Raw genomic sequence first — 19,903 nt, forward strand, 5'->3', positions numbered from 1 at the left:
GGGCCGCCCACCCGGCGTCAGTATTCTGGAACACTGGTTTGGAATGGGGACGGCACTAACAGAGCAGGGAGGCCGGTCTGGGCTTCTCCCAACAGCTCCGGCTTCCCAAACAAGGCATGCCAAGGAGAGGGAAAAGGAAGTCTGGCCAGCCCTGCACTCCCTGCACCTCTGCAGCCCGCCCTCCCTTCCTCCCAGCCAGCTTTCTTAGCTCAGAGGGAAGGGGCAAGGGCTGATGCCTCTGAGCACTGGTTGTGTGATCCCCATGCTGGGAGCAGGCCTGGGAGAGGAGGAGAATTGCTTTGGGTCAGTCACCATTCCAAACAGAGGGCCAGACACCAAACAGGTGACACATGCATTTAATAGACACATTCCAGGGAGGGAACAGAGGGAGCACTCACTCCCAGCAGGCCACTTATAAACACTATGAGACAGGTGGGTGACAACCTGGCATTGAGAGACTCCCCAGCCTCTGCATCTGGAGGGAGGGAGGGAGGTGGAGCTGGAGGAGGACTTTCCAGCTGCCCGGGCCTCGCAAGATAGGCTGAATGAGAGCCTTAGGAGAGAGCAGGCTTTGGTTTCACATGTGTAACAGACGGGTGCTGCTGGCAGTCTGGGCACTGTCAGGAGGGAGAGGCTGGCTTAGGCCTGGGAATGGGTATAGCCAGTACTCCAGGCTCCCAGCAGCACAGGTGCACCTTACAAGGAGAGAGGAAGGAGGAGGACCCTGGTGTCCAGGTGTGACTGCAAACAGGCCTCAAGGCAGGGTAGAGGGAGCCATGGGGCTCTCTTAGTGCGTGTAGCTCTTCTGGCTGGAGGATGTGGTGGAGACAAACTTGACGCTAGAACCACTGCCCCCTAAGCCCCGGTTGCTGGTGGCACTGAATCCAGAACCTCCCAGGCCTGCACCCAGGCTATGCCCACCACTGGTGGTGAAGGAGTAGCCGCTGCCCCCACCGAGGCCCAGGTTTCCACCTCCAATGCTGCTGCCGCTTCCATAGCCACTGGAAAGAGTAGAGGTGACCACAGCTGCCGGGAAGAGAGGAGGTGTGGTCAGATCAAGTGCAAGCGAGAAGACAGCTGGGAGTGTGAGGGCCTGTGCCCTGGAGTCCTTGGGTGGGGAGGGGGTGGTCTCGTCAGCCAGCAGTTTGCCTCCTTCCAATGTCCCCTGCTTAGTGAGATCACTGCCTGTGTTCCTGAGCTGCAGCTCCAGGCAGCCTCTTAGGCTGGAATGGCTTCCTCCTCCCCTTCCAGAACCTACTGGAGCCCTCTCCTCCTGGAAGCAGCTCCAGTCCACCTGCTTTCCCTTTGATCCTCCTGCTGTGCCGTCTGGGTCTGTCTCCCTGTCTGAGCCTGACTCCAGAGTTTCTCTTCCTTCTGGATGCTTATGGGGGGAGGGGCACACTCCTCTTCCCTCAGCGTCTCCCAGCCCCACACTCAGAATCCCAGGGTGGAGGCTGGAATATTCTTGATGGATCAAGTGACAGATTAACCTGTTGGCCAGTGAACTCTGCCCCCGTTCTCCTCCCAACCTATTCTTCTCCTAATTTATAACTCATCCCCTTACACATTCTAGCACCCTACTTTGGGTCCTGCCGAAGGAAAATCAAATTTTAAAAAAATAGACTCCGTTATAGGATGAATTGTGTCCTTCAAAAACCTATGGTGAAGTGTTAACACCAGTATCCGTGAATGCAACCTTATTTGGAAATGGGATCGTTGCAGGTATAACCAAGTTAAGATAAAGTCTGTAGGGTGGGCCCTGATCTAACATGACTGGTGTCCATACAGAAAGAAGGAAGACATTCATCTGAAGCCACAGACACACAGGGACACGGTCATACAATCACAGAAACAGAGAGTGGAGGGATGCAGCCACAAGCCAAGGAACACCGAGGATGGATGGCCACCGCCAGAGCTAGGAGGAGGCTGGAGGGGGGCTGGGCTGCCCATGCTGCCTCCGTGTTCCAGAACACTATCTGGTTTGGAGAGGGGATAGTGCCACCCTGCATGATATACAGAGCAGGAGGCTGGTCCAGGCTCCAAGTTTCAGAGGGACCAGGGCCCTGCTAACCCTTAATTTCAGCCTCCGGAACTGTGAGACAAGACATTTCTGTTGCTTTAAACCACCTGACTGGTGGTACTTTTTGCAACAGCCCTGGAAAACTAATACAGACAATTAGGTGTTTTCAAGAGAAAAGGAGCTTCAAGGTTATGCTTGAAGGCCTGTCCCCAAAATTAGCTTTGAGGGTCTCTGGCACCACTAGACAAAGACATCAGGGAGGAAGGACACCTGGGTGGTTCAGAGGGCTCTGCCTTCTAGAATCATTGGCTAATATAATGAATTGCCCTTATGAATGCCCATCAAGAAAACCAAACTCAAACTCACTTGTAGAGGGTGAGTTGTAAGAGTCATTTCTGTTGCCCTTGTGATGCCAGCACTGAGCTCTGCGAATGACCACTTCTTCTCTCACCAGCACAGGGCCATGCCAGCTTGTTAATACCTCTCCTGTTTTAGAGCTACTGTAGCCAACTGCCATATTTTATGCTGCCCTTACTGCCTTGAAAACCCTTGGCATCCTTCTGCAGTTATACTCGGCAGAGTTGAGCCAAGCAGTGGAGCTTCTTCTCAAACTGTTTAGGAGAGAAGCTGCCTAGTTGGCAATGCTCTTGTCCACAGCATGAAGGCTCCCTTCAAAGGTCCAAGCCAGACCAGGAATTTTCATAAATCCCGTCTACATCAAGTGCTCACCTCTGTGCTAGGCTTGCAGCCCCAACAAAAAGGCAGGGAATTCTGGGAGGTAGGAGATGTGGCCAGGATCTTTTAAACCCACTCAGAACAATGACATCAAACCTCTCATCACCCCTTCTGTGACACCCTCACTCTCAAAGAGGAAAGAACTGTGACATTAAAGACTCCTAATATGGCTTGCTTTTTAAGGGACCCAAAACCTCAAACCTTCTCCAAATGAACGCTGTCTGTGAGATCCCGTCTAACCCGTCATATCTTCACCCTCTGGCAAGCCCACCACATCCCCATCCCCTCTACCACACACACTCCAAATGGCCCAAGAAGTATGTCATACTCACAAATGTTAACTGGAGAAACTCCCTCTCCACTCAACCTGATTGGGAAGAGCAGGGAGAAGGAAGGTTACCAATGTGGCCAGCAGCTTAAGGGCCTTTGCAATGACACTTTTGTAATTGTTGACAAAGCATTTAAACATACTTTATTATTTTTATTGCAGAAGTAATGCAGGTTGAAATTATTTGAGAACTAGTAGTATTAAAGATAATATTAATAATCTAATGAATAAAATAAGGTGGAGTTTGAGGTTCACAGGAGCAAAATCTATAATCTCAGAAATACAATTTTTGGTTTAAACTAGTTAGATGCCTTAAGGAAATTAAAAGTAATCATATACTGGCATCAACTGGAAAGAAGGGCCTGTCCTATAATAAGATTTGTCTCTCAACAAGGGACCATTGTCATGCACTGAGCCAGGGCTGAGCTTATTGTATATAGGTGTGGAGAGGCGTCTGAGTCATAAAAATAACAATAGTAATATCAGTTTATTATTATCTTAGCAACCAAGTAACTTTGCTTTAGCATCTTCAGGACAGAACTGGCATTCATTCATAAACACATACTGAGAAACTTAACAAGAGGTAACAGCTGTTGATTACCTGTTACTTATATCACACCACTTAGTTCTCTCAACAACCCCATGAGGTAGGTATTATTTGCTCACTTTTATAGAGGGAGAAATGGAAGCTCAGACAAGTTAACTAACTTGCCCATAGTCGCAAAGCTGGACTTGAAGACAGATTCATCTGACACCAAAGCCTATGTCTTTGGCCATGAAACTGAATGATAGCTAACATTTATCGAACACGCTGTGTACCATGCATTGTTCTAAGAGCTTTGTGTGTATTCCCTTATTTTAACCCTTTTAATAATGTGAGAGTTTAGAACTATTGTTATTCACATTTTATTGGATGAGAACACTGAGAGGTGGAGAGGTTAAGTATCTGCTCTTGGCTACACAGCTCCTAACTGGCAGAGCACAAAGCTCCCATGAAGCTTTGCGGATCATGTAATCTGACCTTTTCATTTTATCATTGAAGAAATTGAGGGCCAGAGAAGGGAGACTGACTTTCCCAAGGTTATGTAGCTACTTAGTGTTAGATCTGTAAGCCCAAATCCTAGGACTGTTTGTTCTCAGCCCATGGCCTTTTAGACCACATTTCGAGAGCTGCCATGTAACCAAATGTCTCCTTTGGTAGAATTCAGTTACTTAGACCTGATCAGGTTTTAGGTTTCTATGGGGATGCTAACTGTAGTTGCACCTCAAATGATTTACTAGCCTGGAAGGAAATTAAAATTATTTTTTTGCCATAGCCCAATTCTGAACTGCATTTTCTTCCAGGAGAAGAAGGGGCTGCAACAGCCCGAGCCCCTAGGAATGCCCAGGAAGCTGAGGTGAGCTCAACTTGCTTTGAGGATGAAGTTGGTGCATCTGCCTCACCTGCACTCCTCGCCTTCCAGCAGCTTGCGGTAGGTGGCGATCTCCACGTCCAGGGCCAGCTTGATGTTCATCAGCTCCTGGTACTCACGCAGGAGCCGAGCCATGTCCTGCTTGGCCTTCTGCAGGGCCTCCTCAAGGTCCACCAGCTTGGCCCGTGCATCCTTGAGAGCCAGTTCTCCCCGCTGCTCTGCATCAGCAATGGCCGTTTGCAAGCTGGAACACTGTAAGGACAGGAGGAAGCCATGAGTCCTGCTGACAGCCCATGGAGGTGTGGTGCTTCTTGGGGAGGAGTTCTTAAAGATGGCAGAAAGGCCCAGAAGAAATGAGCATTTGAGGAGCTCTTGGCCCTGCCAAATCTTTACCTGCTTCTTGACGCTGTCAATCTCAGCTCTCAGCCTCTGGATCATGCGGTTCATTTCAGAGATCTCTTGTTTGGTGTTTCGAAGGTCATCCCCATGTCTGCCTGCGGTGACCTGCAGCTCCTCGTACTGAGAGAACCAGAGCAAACCCAGTCACTGAGTCAAATGCCTGGCCCAGGCACTCGCTGTGCACACAGACCCACCCTGGGTGCCACAAGCAGGCTCATTCATTCCTGGTCATTCACTCATTCCCCCTGAAGCTTACAGTTTATTGGGGGACATAGACATTAACTGAATTAGCATATTATCAAATGTATAGTTCCACACTAAGATAAGTGCCCTTAGGAAATGAACAGGGTCCTGGGAGAGTGTAATGAAGGAATCTGACCTAGATTTGGAAGTGGGAAGTGGTGGTCAGAGAAGTCTCTCCAGAGATGGAGATGCTTGAACTGTGGTCTGAAGGATGAGAAGGAGGGACCTAAGTGACCAGTTGTGGGGGAGAACATTCCAGACAAAGGAAACAGCCTGCATGAAGACTCTGGGTCAGGGAAGGAACATGGTGAGTTCTAGGAGTGAGACGGTGATTTGATCAAGGTCCCTGGGTAGTTCCTGGTCACAGAGCGTGCATCCAGACCAACTGTGCCCATGAATTTTGGTAGCCCTCCAAACACCAGTGCTGGGGAAACAGGGAGGAGATATGGGGGAATGGTGTGGGATGGTGCAGAGGCTGTGGAAGGCACAATTTTGAAGACTTTGTAAAAGTATTCCCAATCTCAGGTAGTTCTCAATCTAATGGTGCATATCCAGGACATGTGAATTTAAGAGCAATAATTACACCCTGTCTCCTCCAGCAGACTGAAGTGAAACCTACACCTTTCCCTGACAAAAGGAGATCCCCTGCCAGAGTCAAGATCTGTGGGGTTCTTGAAAGTGCTGAATAGCTCAGGTTCCCGCTTCTAGGTATACATGATTAAATGGAGCAACAACCCAACAACATGAGGAATCGTTTGCTATCGATTTCAACCACTTCACCTTGGGGTTAAGTGCATCATGTTTCCTTTCACCGTCAAGGCGCTGCCTCTGCCCTGTGGAACCCTGGTCCCTGCTACCCACCTTCCTTTCCACCACACTCCTGACCAGAAGGGATGAGGCAACGTATGGAGCAGGGAAAGAGTTGGAACCTGCTCGTAGGTGAGAAGCTGCCCCAAGAGGGGTCTGGATTTGACAGGGAGCTGGTATCATGGGTCAATTGTACCCCGCAAAGCCAAACTTCTTTGCGGCTGTCTGAGCTCTGGGCAGTAGCTGTTTGTGTTTATCCCAGCCTTCCTCTTCCTGACATAAACTCCCTTGCTTGTTCTTGCCTGCCAGCTCCTTGTTCAGCCTTAAACCTCTCCCCACTCCTCAGCAATCTTTTGTCCCTCATGGCTTCCCAACTGTACAAAGCCCCCATGTCTTCCTGGAAGCTTTTTATTCATGCTATCTTTTCCCTTCCATGATTGTCCATTCACTTCATGGCCTCCCAGAGCTTGGGTTCTCTGTTTGCAGTTTATTTATTTGCAACCCTGTAACCCTGATTGGCATACAGCAGGAGCTCAGAAAATATATAGAGAATAAATAAGCCTTTTAGAAACTGCTTCATGACTGTGTCTCGGTTGTCCTGGTGTCTCACCCTGCTCCCACCCAGATCTTGAGGAATGTGGGGCCAGTGGATGTCCTGAGCTCCCAGCATTGGGCTGACCATGTATTAGTGTGTCTGGTTCGGTTTCCACATGCATTTCAAGCTAAGTTGTCATAGCATCAAAGACATGCCTGCTAAGTTGAAATAAACGAATGTGCTCACACGTTTCCTGAGGCTGAGTTAAGTGATAATGTGGAGCCTCAGAGAACACTAACCCTGGAACCTCTCATGGAGGTGTCCATGCTCACCTTGGTCTGGTACCAGGACTCAGCCTCGGCCCGGCTGCGGTTGGCAATGTCCTCGTATTGTGCTTTGACCTCGGCGATGATACTATCCAGGTCCAGGTTGCGGTTGTTGTCCATGGACAGCACCACGGATGTGTCACCGACCTGGGTCTGCAACTGGGACAGCTCCTGCAGGGCAGTAAACTCAGCATCACCAAGGCATAAGATGAAGAATCTTAAATCTTCGTGGTTAACTACCCATCTAGGTCAGGAATCCTTTCCTTGGTATTCCTGGCAGATTCTCCCAGCTATTCCCTAGGTATTCCCATTCATCCCAAAAGATCAGTGTGGTGAAAATCTTTCCCAGCCTTACTTCTCAAGGCTCCCATCTGTGTGCTTTCCCCAGGCATGAGGGTGGGTAAGCATCCTCTGAATTGGAATTACATAGATTTGAATGTGACACGTGTCTGTTCAGTATGCCAACATAAACGGCTTCTTTAAGAGCATTGGGGACATCTGGGACACTGCTTCCCCCTGCACAGTGTGACTCCATCACTTTCTACCTCTCTCTCCCTTTCCACAGACCCAGGTCTCTGCCTTTGGAGGGGTAGCGCCCAGAATGAGGCATCTTCAAAGGGTAGGAAGCCCCCTGACCAATGAGCTGAGGGACAGCTTGCCTTTTTTTTTTTTTAATACTTTTCAGGGAAGGGGAAGGGAGCAGGTATGTGTTGATTCCTTGGGAAATTACCCAGTGTCCTAGAATTTGGGAATCAGTACTCTCTCCTTGTTAGATGTTGTCCTGCCATGGGATAAGGGAGTTCGGGGGAGAAGCATCAGAGCTGGGGTAGTTTAGTATGACAAGGCTCCAAGTGGTTCTCCCTGGTCCCCCTACCACCCAAGCCCCAGCTTGAAGTATCCAAGCAAGATGCTGGGCAGAGGCACTGAATGAATGAATGGCACAATGCATCATCCTTTTCTTTCCAGGCTCCAGACCTAGGAGAGACAGAAATACTTGCAGACTCTTACTGCATCAAAGACTGAGTGGATGAAGTTGATCTCCTCGGGCAGAGATTTGACCTTGGCTTCCAGCTCCACCTTGTTCATATAGGCAGCATCTACGTCCTGGAATGACAGCGCAGGATGCTCCTTTGAGTCTGCAGCCCCAAGTATCTAGTCCAAAAGAAGCTGAGCAGATTTCTCCCCAGCCCATCTAGTTTGGATTTTAGAAAACTCTGGGTCTGGGTGATTTGGGGTTGGGGATGGGTAATTACGGAGAACTGGGGGCTTGAATTCCCTGAGCTCACAGAAACCCAAGTAGGGCTAATGGGGCCATCAACGTAGAGGGAACATGTTGGGAGGTTTGAACTCTGCAGATATTCTCAAGGTTGATGTGACATTTCTTGGGTGGCCCAAGGGTCAGAGGTCAGGTTACCCCACACTCCAGATTCCATTTTAAACCTTCTCCTTTGAGAGAAACATCCCCACTCACCTTTTTCAGGGCTACAAATTCATTCTCAGCAGCTGTGCGCTTGTTAATTTCATCTTCGTACCTATAAGGACAGAGCGGGGGGTGTGCTGTTGAGCAAGTCTGCATTGAACTCTTTCCAGGCTGGTGTAGCAAGAGTTAAGAGCCCTCAAATCATTTCCAGCTCTTCTGCTGACCTGGGCATGACTTTGGGTGATTCATTTAACCTCTATTTCTCCCTCCATAAAAGGGGGATAATTTCTTCTGCTAGTTTTTAATAAACTTTTCTAAGAGTAGAAGGTGAGCATGGAACTTAAAGGAATACAAAAATATACTTATGCAACTCCATCTTTTGATAGATATGCAATGCTAATCTAAAATGTTTTTCCACCTCAAGTGTCTACCGAAATCGTGGAGTAAACTTTATCTGTTCAGCAGGCTGTTTCGGGTAGATTTTGATATATTTTCACTGAACCTCAGGGTGGCCCCTGAGAAATATGCTTTTTGTAACTAGGGGTAGCTCAAGCTTAGAAATAAGGGCAAGCTGGCTAATGGGTTAGTCTGGACCAAATCCCTTTCCACTGGATACCTCACCTACTGCAGCCTGGATGATGTGCAGTCAAAAGTTTCCCCCCACAAGAAAAGTCAGATTGCCCTCCTTTAAACTCTTCCTTGTTACCTCTCTTCACTCTACAGTGAATGCCATCCTGGAAATGCAAACCATCTCAATAATTGAGCCCATGTCCAATGGAATTAAACAATATGCTGACTGTGAAATTACATTATGATTTCTAGAGTGAGTAGCAATATTTTGTCGGATGATGTTGATATCCCTTTGCAGTCATGTGAACAAATAGGAATAGGATCTTCATAGCAATACACAAGATGAAGGTCCTTGTGCTACCCCACACAGTGCTGTCTCCACCTTGCAGGATAAAGGCTGCAGTTCCAAAGCTCCCGGCTGATATCGGCATTTGCTCCTTTGCACCTCTCTGGTCCTCACACAAAGGAGCCTTCAGATGGCTGTGTGTGGCCAGAAGCCAGTCTCCCACTTACCTGACTTTGAAATCTTCCACAACATCCTGCATGTTCCTCAGTTCAGCTTCAAGCCTGCCCCTCTCGGTGGTGATGCTTTCCAGCTGCCGTCGGAGCTCACTGGTATAGGAATCAAAGAGGGGCTCTAGGTTCTGCCTCACAGTCCTGGAGCCCTGCTCCTGCAGGAGGGCCCACTTGGTCTCCAGGACCTTGTTCTGCTGCTCCAAGAACCTCACCTGGAGGGAAGAAGAGAGAATGAAACCTTGAGAAGTTGGAGAGGCAGAGTTAGACACTCCTATTAATAAGGGAGAGAAGAAAAAGATATTTTTTTCACTTGGCACCCATTGACAATAATGTAACTGACAACTCCAACCCAAAAGGAGGCAGTCCATGGAGCTACCGCAAAGTTCCCTAGGGCTTGCATAGGATTCGGGTGGTGGGGCCTAGAGGCTTCTGTTGGGGAGCTGCTCTTGGGTTAAGTTTCTCAACACCACCTACTCTGGGTTAGGGTAGTTTGCTGAGCAGCAACTCTCCTGTAGAGAATCAACAAAACTCTTCCCTTGGTGTTGACTGAACCAGCCCATGTGGCTCCGAAAGAGAGGAAATTTCTACCAGGTCCTGTGGGGCAAGCTGGCCTGACTTGGAAGGGTCTCAGCCCCTGGGAGCCCGTGCTGAACAGTGCTCATTCCCACAGTGGGGTCATTGCATTATTGCTCTCCCCCCATGGGATGGCCCTTCCAAGAGTTTATTTGATCCCAAACCCAAGGGGGTGGATGAAGCCCCTGCTTACCTTGTCGATGAAGGAGGCGAACTTATTGTTGAGGGTCTTGATCTGCTCGCGCTCCTCGGCCCGCACCCGCTGGATGGTGGGGTCGATTTGCAGGTGAAGAGGAGTCAGGAGACTCTGGTTGACAGTGACCTCTTGGATGCCTCCAGGGGGACACACGGGGAAGCTGGGGCCACTGAAGCCTCCTCCAACTCCACCCCCATAGCCAAATCCACTGTTGACTCCAAACCTGTTGCTGGCCCTGCCACCAAAGCCACTTCGGCAGCTGCTGCCACACCCATTGATGGAGACCCGCTTGGCACCCCCCAGGTTGTAGAGGCTGCGGCTTCCAAAGCTGGCCCCAGCACTGCTGATCCTTCCCAGGCCCCCACTCCCTGCTGCAGAGCGGGCCACAGAGACAGAGCTGAAGCGGGAGCGGCCAGCTGCCGGGGTGATGGCCGAGGTGGTGCTGAAGCCCCTGCGGCTGCCAGACTGGAAGGTGATGGAGGACTGCCGAGACATGGTGGGTGAGGAAGGCCGGCGAGAAGGCACCTGAGGTGGGCTGGTACAGGCAGTGGAGAAGACAGGTGGCTGGAGAGCCCTGGTCTCGTGGCTTTTATGAGCATCCTGTGGGGGCGGGGCACTGCTAGTGGAGAGGGCCTTCTGATGGCATTCCCTGGGCATCCGCCAACCCTGAGCTCACACTCGGCATCCCTCGGGAAATGGTGTAAGGGCCACTGGCTGGTTCCCTGGCACCCCCTCCCCACAACGTGCAAACTCCTTTCCAGTTGCAACTTGATCAGCATATGAGTAAGAAGCAAGTTAATTGCTTTCCGTCATGTGCTAATGATGCATCTTGTAAAGGACTCAGCAAACACTGCCTCATTTCTAAACCGCTTTCTTAGGCCTGGGACCAACTCCGTCCTGTCCAAACATCTTGTGTTAATACAAGCCACTACACTTCACTGTTTCCTTGGGGTGCTTCCTATTCCCTAAGCATTTTCTCAGCACCTACTGCCTGGTTCCCCAAGCCCCATCAAGCTGTCTTTCCAAACCTTGAAGGTCGCGCTCTGTAATCATCTTCCTTAGGAATCCACCCCATTTTGATTGCCCCTTTATTCTGCTCTTAAGCTTCCGTGTCTATTGTGTAGGTCACACATGGTTTTCTGGAGTGTATGTGTGCCTGTGCCCTGCCCACTGCAATATAATGTGACTCTCAAGGCCAGCCAGTGCTCTGTCTCCTGGGAAGAGAGGTTGTGAGAGGAGAAAGACTCGGGTTTGAATCTCAGACCTGCTCATAGTTGTGGGACCTTGAGCAAGCCATGAAACTTTTCTGTGCCTCAACTTTCATGTCTGTAAAATGGGGTTTGTAATGAATATTCACATGTGAAAACTTTCGCAATGCCCGGTATATGTAAGTGCTGAGTAAATGTCTATTGAGGCTCCCCTCTTTCTGATACAATCAAGTAATATTAAGGAAGTGCCAACCATGTCCATCCTGTGACTAGTCCTGTGGGAATTCAAAAGAAACACAATGCACATTATTTATCTTCAACAAGCTCATGGTCCTGTTGGGAAGATAAAACTGTACAAGATGGTGTACCATGAATCATCACCTCCAAGCTGCATTTGAGGCTGCCTATCCCAGAAGTCTCCCAGGCAGTTTCCTCCTCCTCCTGAGGACCAAGAATTCCTAGCTCTCCAGTCCTTCATCAAAAGAGCTCCAACAGCTGCACCTAGCAGAGGATTCGTTCCTTCCCTGTTTCTCCTGTTAACCTTGTAGACTGTGCCCTACATTCTATATTAGTCTACAAACCGCAAAGAAGACTTCAAGGCACCTCATCTCTCTGTTCTGCAACTCATTGCCCCATCTCTACCATGGGAAGAGTCAAACCAAAACATTGCTGAATCTTCTTTTTTTTTCTGCCTTGAGACAGGGTCTCACTCTGTCACCCAGGCTGGAGTGCAGCAGCTCAATCTCGGCTCACTGCAACCGCCACCTCCTGGGCTCAGGTGATCATCCCACCTCAGCTTCCTGAGTAGCTGGGACTACAGGCATGCTCCACCATGCCTCTCTAATTTTTTTACTATTTTGTAAAAACTGGGTGTCGACATTTTGCTCAGGCTAGTCTTGAACTCTTGAGCTCAAGTCATCCATCCTCTTTGGCCTCCCAAAGTACTGAGATTACGGGCTTAAGCCACCGCGCCTGGCCTGAATCTTCTTTTATCTTGCTGCCTGCTTTCTTCTTGCTGTGGTTTTGAAGCCTGGGAGAGTAAGAGAGGAATTAATCAGCATTCAGTCTCCATTTCGTGGATGAGGGCATTGAGCCCAGAATGGTTAACTAGTCAGACAGACCCACAAGAAGCAGAGCCAGATTCCATGGTCTTTCCACACAGGTGTCCTTTTAGGGGCACACTGGTAACCGACCATTTGGCAGATGTTCTCACCTGCCTGGAATGGCAGCTTGGCACTTGGAGCGGTAGTTCTTTGTTCTCTAAACTGTTTCCTCCTTGGGACTGAGGCCCGGGGGTAAGCCTCTCCCCCATCTAGAGATTATTTGGGAGTCTCAGTTTCCACAGGAAAGATATGAATCATAGCTTGTGTTGATACAGGCCAGGAAGAGCAGAGGAGTTCCTTCACCTGGTTCCGTTGCCAACCCCAGCCAGGGTGGTGCATGGTTCTCAAGTGGAAAGAATAATTATGTTTGTTTTCTGTACTCTTCATTGCATGATAATCTGGCCCCCAGAAGAAAGGACACTTGTTTCCTGAGCCATACTGAGCAAACGCTTGCAGAGCTTTCCACAAAACAAAGGTCTTGGAGGGTCCAGGCGTGGTGAGTGGCTGGGCCAGCATGCCCACGGGAAGGGAGGTCCCCAGCCTTCTCTCACCATGCTTCCCACGTGGGAAGCAGGCTCCAGGCTGCCTTCCCTCCCAGCCATTCCTTTCTTTCCCATGTCCCCTGCTGGAGCCCTCTTCCCAGGCACTTCATCTCATTCTGTTTCCATTCTGGTTTTTCTCAGCCATCACCTCTTGCCTGGGGCTGCTCATTTATTCTTTTCCTCCTTCCCCTCTAGTTTTTCCAGGACTGTTGTTTCTGAAGCTAGACGGTCTTACTCACAGGCTTTGCCGAGTTAGATTGAAATAGAAAGATCGTTCACCTCCCTTCCTCCTCCACTCCCTCTTCTGTGACCTTTGACCTGCACAGTGACCTTTATCCTGGTGGTCAATATCTAGAAGAGTGCCTGGGACACCTGGCTTCCCTGACAACTTGTGTCACCACCCTTTTAAAAATCTCAAAACTCAAGGATTGTTAACAACTTCTTCGCTTTCTGACATTTTTGTTTTGTTTTTAACCTCTTTGTAATTCTGCTTACAACTTATCCCTAAGAAGTCATCGAAGGTGAACTGGGCCCAGCACTACCCCTTAACGCTGTTTGCCTGGAATGCCTGTGTCTGGCATGCCCTTTGATGTCTTCGTTTTCTGGTGGTACGAGTGTTGGTCCACTTCTGAGGGTTGGGCGTTTTCCTCCCAGCTCTGACTAGCCTCCTAGCCACCCCAGATAGAATTGTGGCAGAAGTCTGTGTGATTCAGGCTGTCTAATTTAAAGAAGAACTACACATTCCTTTCTGTTCTCCAGTCTTTCTGCAGCCCTCTCCATCTCTGTGTTATTGGGTCTATCTGAGAGGAGTTTTCTTGAGTTTGGAGAAGTGCTGGATTCAGGGGCCATGGTTTGTGCTCTGGTGCGTGAGGCTGGGAGAGGAAAACTCTTCAATTTCCCTGTTCTCCGCCCATCCTGCTCAGGGTGATCTCTGTTATCCTGGGAGGAACACTAACGTCCTTCGCAGGTGGTGGATCCCAGGACATGGGGCCAGGTGGCGATCAGGGCTGTGGAGGAGGAGAGGAAGTGGGTGGGGGATGCCTCTTCCACAGATGAGGAGTGGGGAATGCCCCAGGGAGCTTTGGCTTCCAGCCAGGCCAGGGCCAGGGCGGGGCCACCAGGGCTAAAGACCATGGGGCAGCAGGGGTTACCTCCCTAGAGCAGGCTGGCCTGAATCATAGAACCAGGGGCCTGGGCGCAGCATCTGAGGACTTAGGCCACAGCCACCTGCCCCCGATTCCTCGACTGCTAGACTTCCCAGACTTCTCCTACTCTCTGTGGAGTCCTGGCTTTAGTGAGTAACTATTTATTAGCATCTATAATATGCCAGGCACTCGCTGTTCTAGCACAGGAGATACAGCAGTGAAGAAAGCAGCCACAACTCCCTTCCCTCCTGGAGTTTATATGGAAAGAGGAGGGGAGCAGAGGTGATTTGGAGGGGCAGACACAATCCGGGTCTCCCAGCTGACACTCCCAGGGGCCGAGTGTGGAGAAGGTAATTCTGTTGTGGACACTCCAGGGGCCGAGTGTGGAGAAGGTAATTCTGTTGTGGACACTCCAGGGGCCGAGTGTGGAGAAGGTAATTCTGTTGTGGACACTCCAGGGGCCGAGTGTGGAGAAGGTAATTCTGTTGTGATGGCACCTGAGACATGCTGGCCAGAAATGCTTTGCCGTCTTCACTATTTGTGCTGGGGTGGCCGCACTTCCTCAATGTTTGGTGTGTCTAATAGGCACTGCCCAGCCTGCCTCAGATCTTCCACCTTACAGCCCCCTTTGTGCCTGTAGTCAGAAGCAATAATTGCTCCCCAAAGGGCACTACAGGTGCCAGCTGATCTGAACAAACTGCCAAGGTGCAGGACTTTGGACATCTGCTTGCAAATGGCCACACTCACCTGATCCGCTCCTGCCCACTGCCAACTCAACAGCCACTTCACATGGGCCCAAATTTGATGGGCAGACGTAGAGCCTGTGCAGGTAGGCAGACAACCTCCCCTCTCAGTCCATTTCAGCAGGAAAGTGGTGTGCTGTTTTTATTCAAACTCAGGCTTAAGAAAGTGTGATGAAACTGTCCTGTCCCTCCGTAATCCAGCCCTTCAGACACACCCAACAGGTGTGCATGTACAAGGTAGACACACAGACACATATGTCTTCAGAACATTCACAAAACAGCAATCTGCAAGAGTGTGGTGCTGCCTGGGTGTGTCAGGATACAGAAGTGAAGGAGCAGAATTAGTCTTTAAAGCCTGGAGGAGCCCTAGAGATGAGGAAACTGGGGTCAGAGAGGAGAGAAGAACTGTCGAAGGCCACACAGCTGTTTGGTAGCTGGGCCAGAACTCCTGATCCCTTCTGCTGCCCCACATTAGCCCTGAGGCTTCTCCATGTTAGAGAGCACAGCAAGAAACCTCCCTGTTGCCTGAGAGGCACAGGTGGGGCCCTCCTCGAAGGAGGGTGTTGGTGAGATGCCAGCCTCTCAGGGGCCCTCCCAGGGCACCCTGACAGGAGACTGAAGAATTCCAGGTGTATCTTGGCCATTCATCTCCAACCTTTTTGTTTGTTTGTTTTTTGCTTTTTGTTCTTGTTTTTGAGACAGGGTCTGGAGTGCTGTGGCACAATTACGGCTCACTGCAGCCTCAACCTCCCGGGCTCAAGCTATCCTCCTACCTTGGCTTCCCAAAGTACTGGGACTACAAGTGTGAGCCACTGTGTTTGGCTTCTTCAGCCACTTTAATGGCCTCGTTTGTTCCCAGGGTTAGGATGCTTCCTCCACAAAGTCTCTCTGTGGCTTGTGCTGGGGAGAAGCTGCCACACAGGGAAACTGCAGGGAGGGAAAGTGGGAAGAAATGGGATGCTGCTCCAGCTCTTCCTCGGGGTAGGGACCCAGAGGCCCTCTCTGAACTGAGGAGCGCAGGACCTAGAAACCAGCCTGGTGAACACTGGCATGGAGTTCCAGCCTGTGGGTGCAGGCTCAGGGGCTGGTGATCCTGGCACGCCGCGGGATGCTGCTGAAACCTCCCCAGTGTCACAGGGTCTGGTGGTTGCTGTGGAGGCTTGGGGGTGTTTGTCACCTGATGGGAAGTCCGAGCTGAAAGCGGCAGCCTCACCCTCGTGCTGGGCTTGGCACTGCCTCAGTGTCTCTTGCACACTGAAAACTTGGACATTCTGAAAAGTCTTCCCTCTTTCTTGCTTGCCAGCCCCCTTTCCTCTCCCAGTTACATCTGAGAGACATAGCTGACCTGAGCCTTCAAACAAGCTGCCTTTGCTCAGCATTTATTCTTTCAAGAAGTATTGGCTGGGGACCTATGGCACGTGAAGCACTGGGATACAGCAGTGAGGGAGGCACAGTCCCAGCATGGTGACAAGGAAGTGAGTCATTAAGAGAGGTTGTCACTTTAGGGGTAGGTGCAGGGTGTGCACGGGGAGCTCATGATACCTGGGAGGCCATCACCCCATTGGTGGCCAGGCTGTGGCCATGCAGCCTGGTGGCCAGGCCTTTGCTGTTCACTGCAACTCCAAAAGAGCTCAGAAAGCACACATCATACAGATCCCATATTTCATGGATGAGGAGTGTGAGGCCCAGAGCCTGAGAGGAACCTTAGAGTAAAACTGCAATAGGACAGTTGTCTCCTGTCCCCCAGAACAGTGTTTGCCCCGTGCCACACTGATCTGTGTGCTGGAGCAGATGGTTAAGTGTTCTCCATGAGTTCCGCCCACTAGGGGCTTGGGCTGTGGGGAAGATAGAACCGACACATGTGAAGCAGACATCATGTAAAATGGTATATAACAGAATTTAAAAATATACGCCGGGCACAATGGCTCACGCTTGTAATTCTGGCACTTTGGGAGGCCGAGGTGGGCAGATCGATTGAGCCCGGGAGTTTGAGACCAACCTGGGCAACATGGCAAAACCCCATCTCTACAAAAAATACAAAAATTAGCTGGGCATGGTGGTGTGCGCCTGTAGTCCCAGCTACACAGGAGGCTGAAGTGGGAGGATGGCTTGAGCCCTGGGAGGTTGAAGCTGCAGTGAGTTGTGATTGTGCTACTGCACTCCGTCCTGGGTGATAGAGTGAAACCCTGTCTCAAAAATAAAAAAAAACAATGAAATTCAGACTGTGAGTGATGCAGTCTCTGGATGGGCCTTGAGGGCTTCAGAGGATCCTTGCTCTCCTGCTGGCTCCAGATGCCCCATCTCGGGCACACACAGTAGCATGGCGGGAAGCAGCGCTAAGCACAGGAGGTGAGGCTGAGGTAGCTGGTTGGGTCTAAACATTTCCCAGGGATAAATCAGAGTGGATCCACCCACAGACACTTCAGATGGGATCACTGAATGCATTCCTGCCTTGTCTCTGTAAAGCTGTGTCTGACATGAGGCATCCGGGTGATGCATTGTTTGCTTGTGTGTTTCCGTGAATGAGAACTTCTGTAGCCATGGAGCTGTGTTTTCCATGATCTTGAGAGGACAGGTCCCTTTGGCACCCAGTCTTGGCCTAGGAATTCTTGCCTCATTCTGAGGTGCATGGCTCCCAGCTGACCTGTAAGCACTAAATCAGCACACACTGATGATGAGGATGGTGACAATGACAATGAGGTCAGGAGAGCCATTATGCTAGGAGTGACTGACTCAGTGTAAATGGAGAACAGAAACCTCTTCCTGCTCTGCTTTAAGAGGTGTAGATATTTGAAAGCCCCGACGCAGGGGAATGAAAAATTAGGGCCCATGACTCATTCTTGACAAAGAATTAATCTCTTTGAAGGAAGACTCAGCAGAGGGCTCTTCTAATCAGCCAGCTCTCTTTGTGTGTGTTCAAAGTGCAATTGATTGGCATGTCTCTTGGAGGAGGGTTTCCAGAGTGTAAAACCAGATATATGACCGGCATGTCATGAGTAAGATAGTTTCCACTGAACAGACCAGGGCTGTGTCTGTGATGCAGGTTACATCCGAGCAGCCAGGACGCCACTTTCCTCCCTTCCCAGAAAAGGGTAAAATGGCTTAGAAGGCCCACAGGCAGACGCCAGGATGACCTCTGCATGATCCTACCTGTGGATATTCCGGCTGTTCTCCCATCTGGCCGTGAGGGAGAGGAATTCCCTTTAAAGGAAATGCCTGAAAGTGCTTTTCATTCACCCCTCAGCACTGGTTTATTAAGCAAGAGTTAGTCAACCTGGGGTGAGCCCAGAGACTAATGAAAATGACCAATGAATTGGGAAACAGAGGTGGGAACAAAGGGGGAAGGAGCTATGACGGGAGACCAATGTCTTCCTTTGTCGTTGCTGCTCTTACCATCAGGGAGTAAACTTAATTGGCAAGAAGGATTCCATTGAGGACTTCTATGTTCTAATGGTGAACAGAAAAATATGCTTCTAAGGGAAGTTGTAGAGATTTCTGTAGATTCTTCCTGGAATGATTTAGGGGGTGTGATTCTGCAATAAATGGAAGTTTAAAAAAAATCTTTAAGATAAGCACCTATACTCTCTACCCTGATAATGCTCTTTAGGCATCATGGTATTTTACAGATTTAGGATGGAAATAGGGTTTCCCTGCACCTTTCAAAATTTCCCCCGGAAGGGACATGCCCACAGAGCCCCTCTGAAGTTGGACCTGCCATTGTTCATGTTCCTTCATTCTTTGCATCCATTGCCCTTGCCTCTTGGTTTATGTGGAGTGTGCTTACGTGTTCATGGGTATATTTCTGGCTCTGCCAGGTGAGAGGGATTTTTCAAAGGTAAGCACATAATTCAGTTGAATTCAACATGCATCTAATAATGTACCTACCCTCTTTTAATTTGTTCTGAAGTATTCAGGACCCTGCTATGCCACAGGTAATCTTAAACTGTATTGCTGAGTGACTTTGCGGGGTTGCTGAGTGATATAGGGCACCTCTGAACAAATAATGAACTTTTGAAGACATTTTCCAAGGCATAGGTAACACAGGCTAAAGACAGTCACAGTTCACTCATCACTTTCTCATCACCGAGGAATGAACAAGAAGTCAAAGTAGGGGAAATAAAGCTTCAGAGACTAGCATAGGCTCCCAGGGTAAGGAAAGACAAAAGCAAAGATTGGAGGGAGTCCAGAGCTGGGGGAGGAGAGAACAGTCGGCTGAGCCACCTTGGGGGAAAAGCAGGCATTCCTCTTTTTCCCAATGTGGGCTGGAATTTCCAGGCTAAAGGGCGAGCATTGCACTGGCTGATGTCACCGTCCAGTAGATGCCTAGTTTAGGCGAGGAGCCAGCTCTGGTGTCTGCTGTTAGCACCCAGAGCAGTAGCTCCTTCACTAGAGGGCAAGCAAAGCAAGGAAAGACTGGAGTGGTGGGGAATGCGGTCAGTCTCATCTTGTTCATGCTGGCAGCACTCTCCCTCCCTCCTGGGGCCAGAGTGGGAGCTGATGGAGTCAGATTCCCTGAGTAAGACCACACCTCCCTAGCAATGCAGAAGAGCAGAGTTCCTAAGATGAGGCAGGTTGTTCCTTGGATCCTGGCTCTGCCTCTTACCCACCAAGTTAGTTAACTTTTCTGAGGCTTGGTTTCCTCATCTTTAAAATGAAGATAAAGTTTAGCAAGGCAGTTGGGTACAAGACCAAGGTACAGAAATCAATCATTTTCATGCATTACCTTTCAGTAATTAGAAAACGTGATGGAGAGAAAGGAGAAAGGAGTTCTAACTCATAACACAAAAACTCTGAGATGCCTAGGGATACCTAACAACAACAACAACAATAACAACACAACAAAATGCACAAGAATAACCAGAAAACATTGAAGACAAACAATGAGTAGGACTTGCTGTATAAGAAACCAACATGTAAATAACAGAGTGAATGTCACCAAGATGGCAGAATACAAGGTAACCTGTTCATATCCCCCCACAAGATATTCTGCACCCAACCACAGTCCAAAATCTCTCTGCAGGTTCAGACATCATTGCACATCCTTGAGCATCGAGGATGTTCATGGAAAAGACCTCACCAAAT

At 49.6% G+C, this 19,903-nt stretch overlaps 1 protein-coding gene across 1 annotated transcript, besides 2 other annotated features; it reads right to left on the minus strand.

The window, feature by feature from the left end:
* Window positions 341-10,642, minus strand: KRT75 (keratin 75). The gene is made up of 9 exons (NM_004693.3): window positions 10,078-10,642; window positions 9,309-9,523; window positions 8,277-8,337; window positions 7,814-7,909; window positions 6,812-6,976; window positions 4,889-5,014; window positions 4,527-4,747; window positions 3,088-3,122; window positions 341-1,026 (listed from the first exon to the last, which is right to left on the minus strand). The coding sequence occupies exons 1-9, from the start codon at window positions 10,573-10,575 to the stop codon at window positions 788-790; spliced, it is 1,656 nt and encodes a 551-aa protein (NP_004684.2). The 5' UTR covers window positions 10,576-10,642; the 3' UTR covers window positions 341-787.
* Window positions 13,497-13,999: an enhancer, noted in NCBI's record as "H3K4me1 hESC enhancer chr12:52831010-52831512 (GRCh37/hg19 assembly coordinates)". NCBI's record gives its function as "activates a minimal SCP1, AML or CMV promoter by ChIP-STARR-seq in naive H9 embryonic stem cells {active_cell/tissue: H9 hESC(naive)}" and the evidence as "EXISTENCE:reporter gene assay evidence [ECO:0000049][PMID:30033119]".
* Window positions 18,383-19,582: an enhancer, noted in NCBI's record as "CDK7 strongly-dependent group 2 enhancer chr12:52835896-52837095 (GRCh37/hg19 assembly coordinates)". NCBI's record gives its function as "activates an origin of replication core promoter dependent on BRD2, BRD4, P300/CBP, MED14 and CDK7 cofactors, with strong dependence on CDK7, by STARR-seq in HCT116 cells {active_cell/tissue: HCT116}" and the evidence as "EXISTENCE:reporter gene assay evidence [ECO:0000049][PMID:35650434]".

Source organism: Homo sapiens, chromosome 12, assembly GCF_000001405.40.
Source record: "Homo sapiens chromosome 12, GRCh38.p14 Primary Assembly".
NCBI lineage: Eukaryota > Metazoa > Chordata > Mammalia > Primates > Hominidae > Homo > Homo sapiens.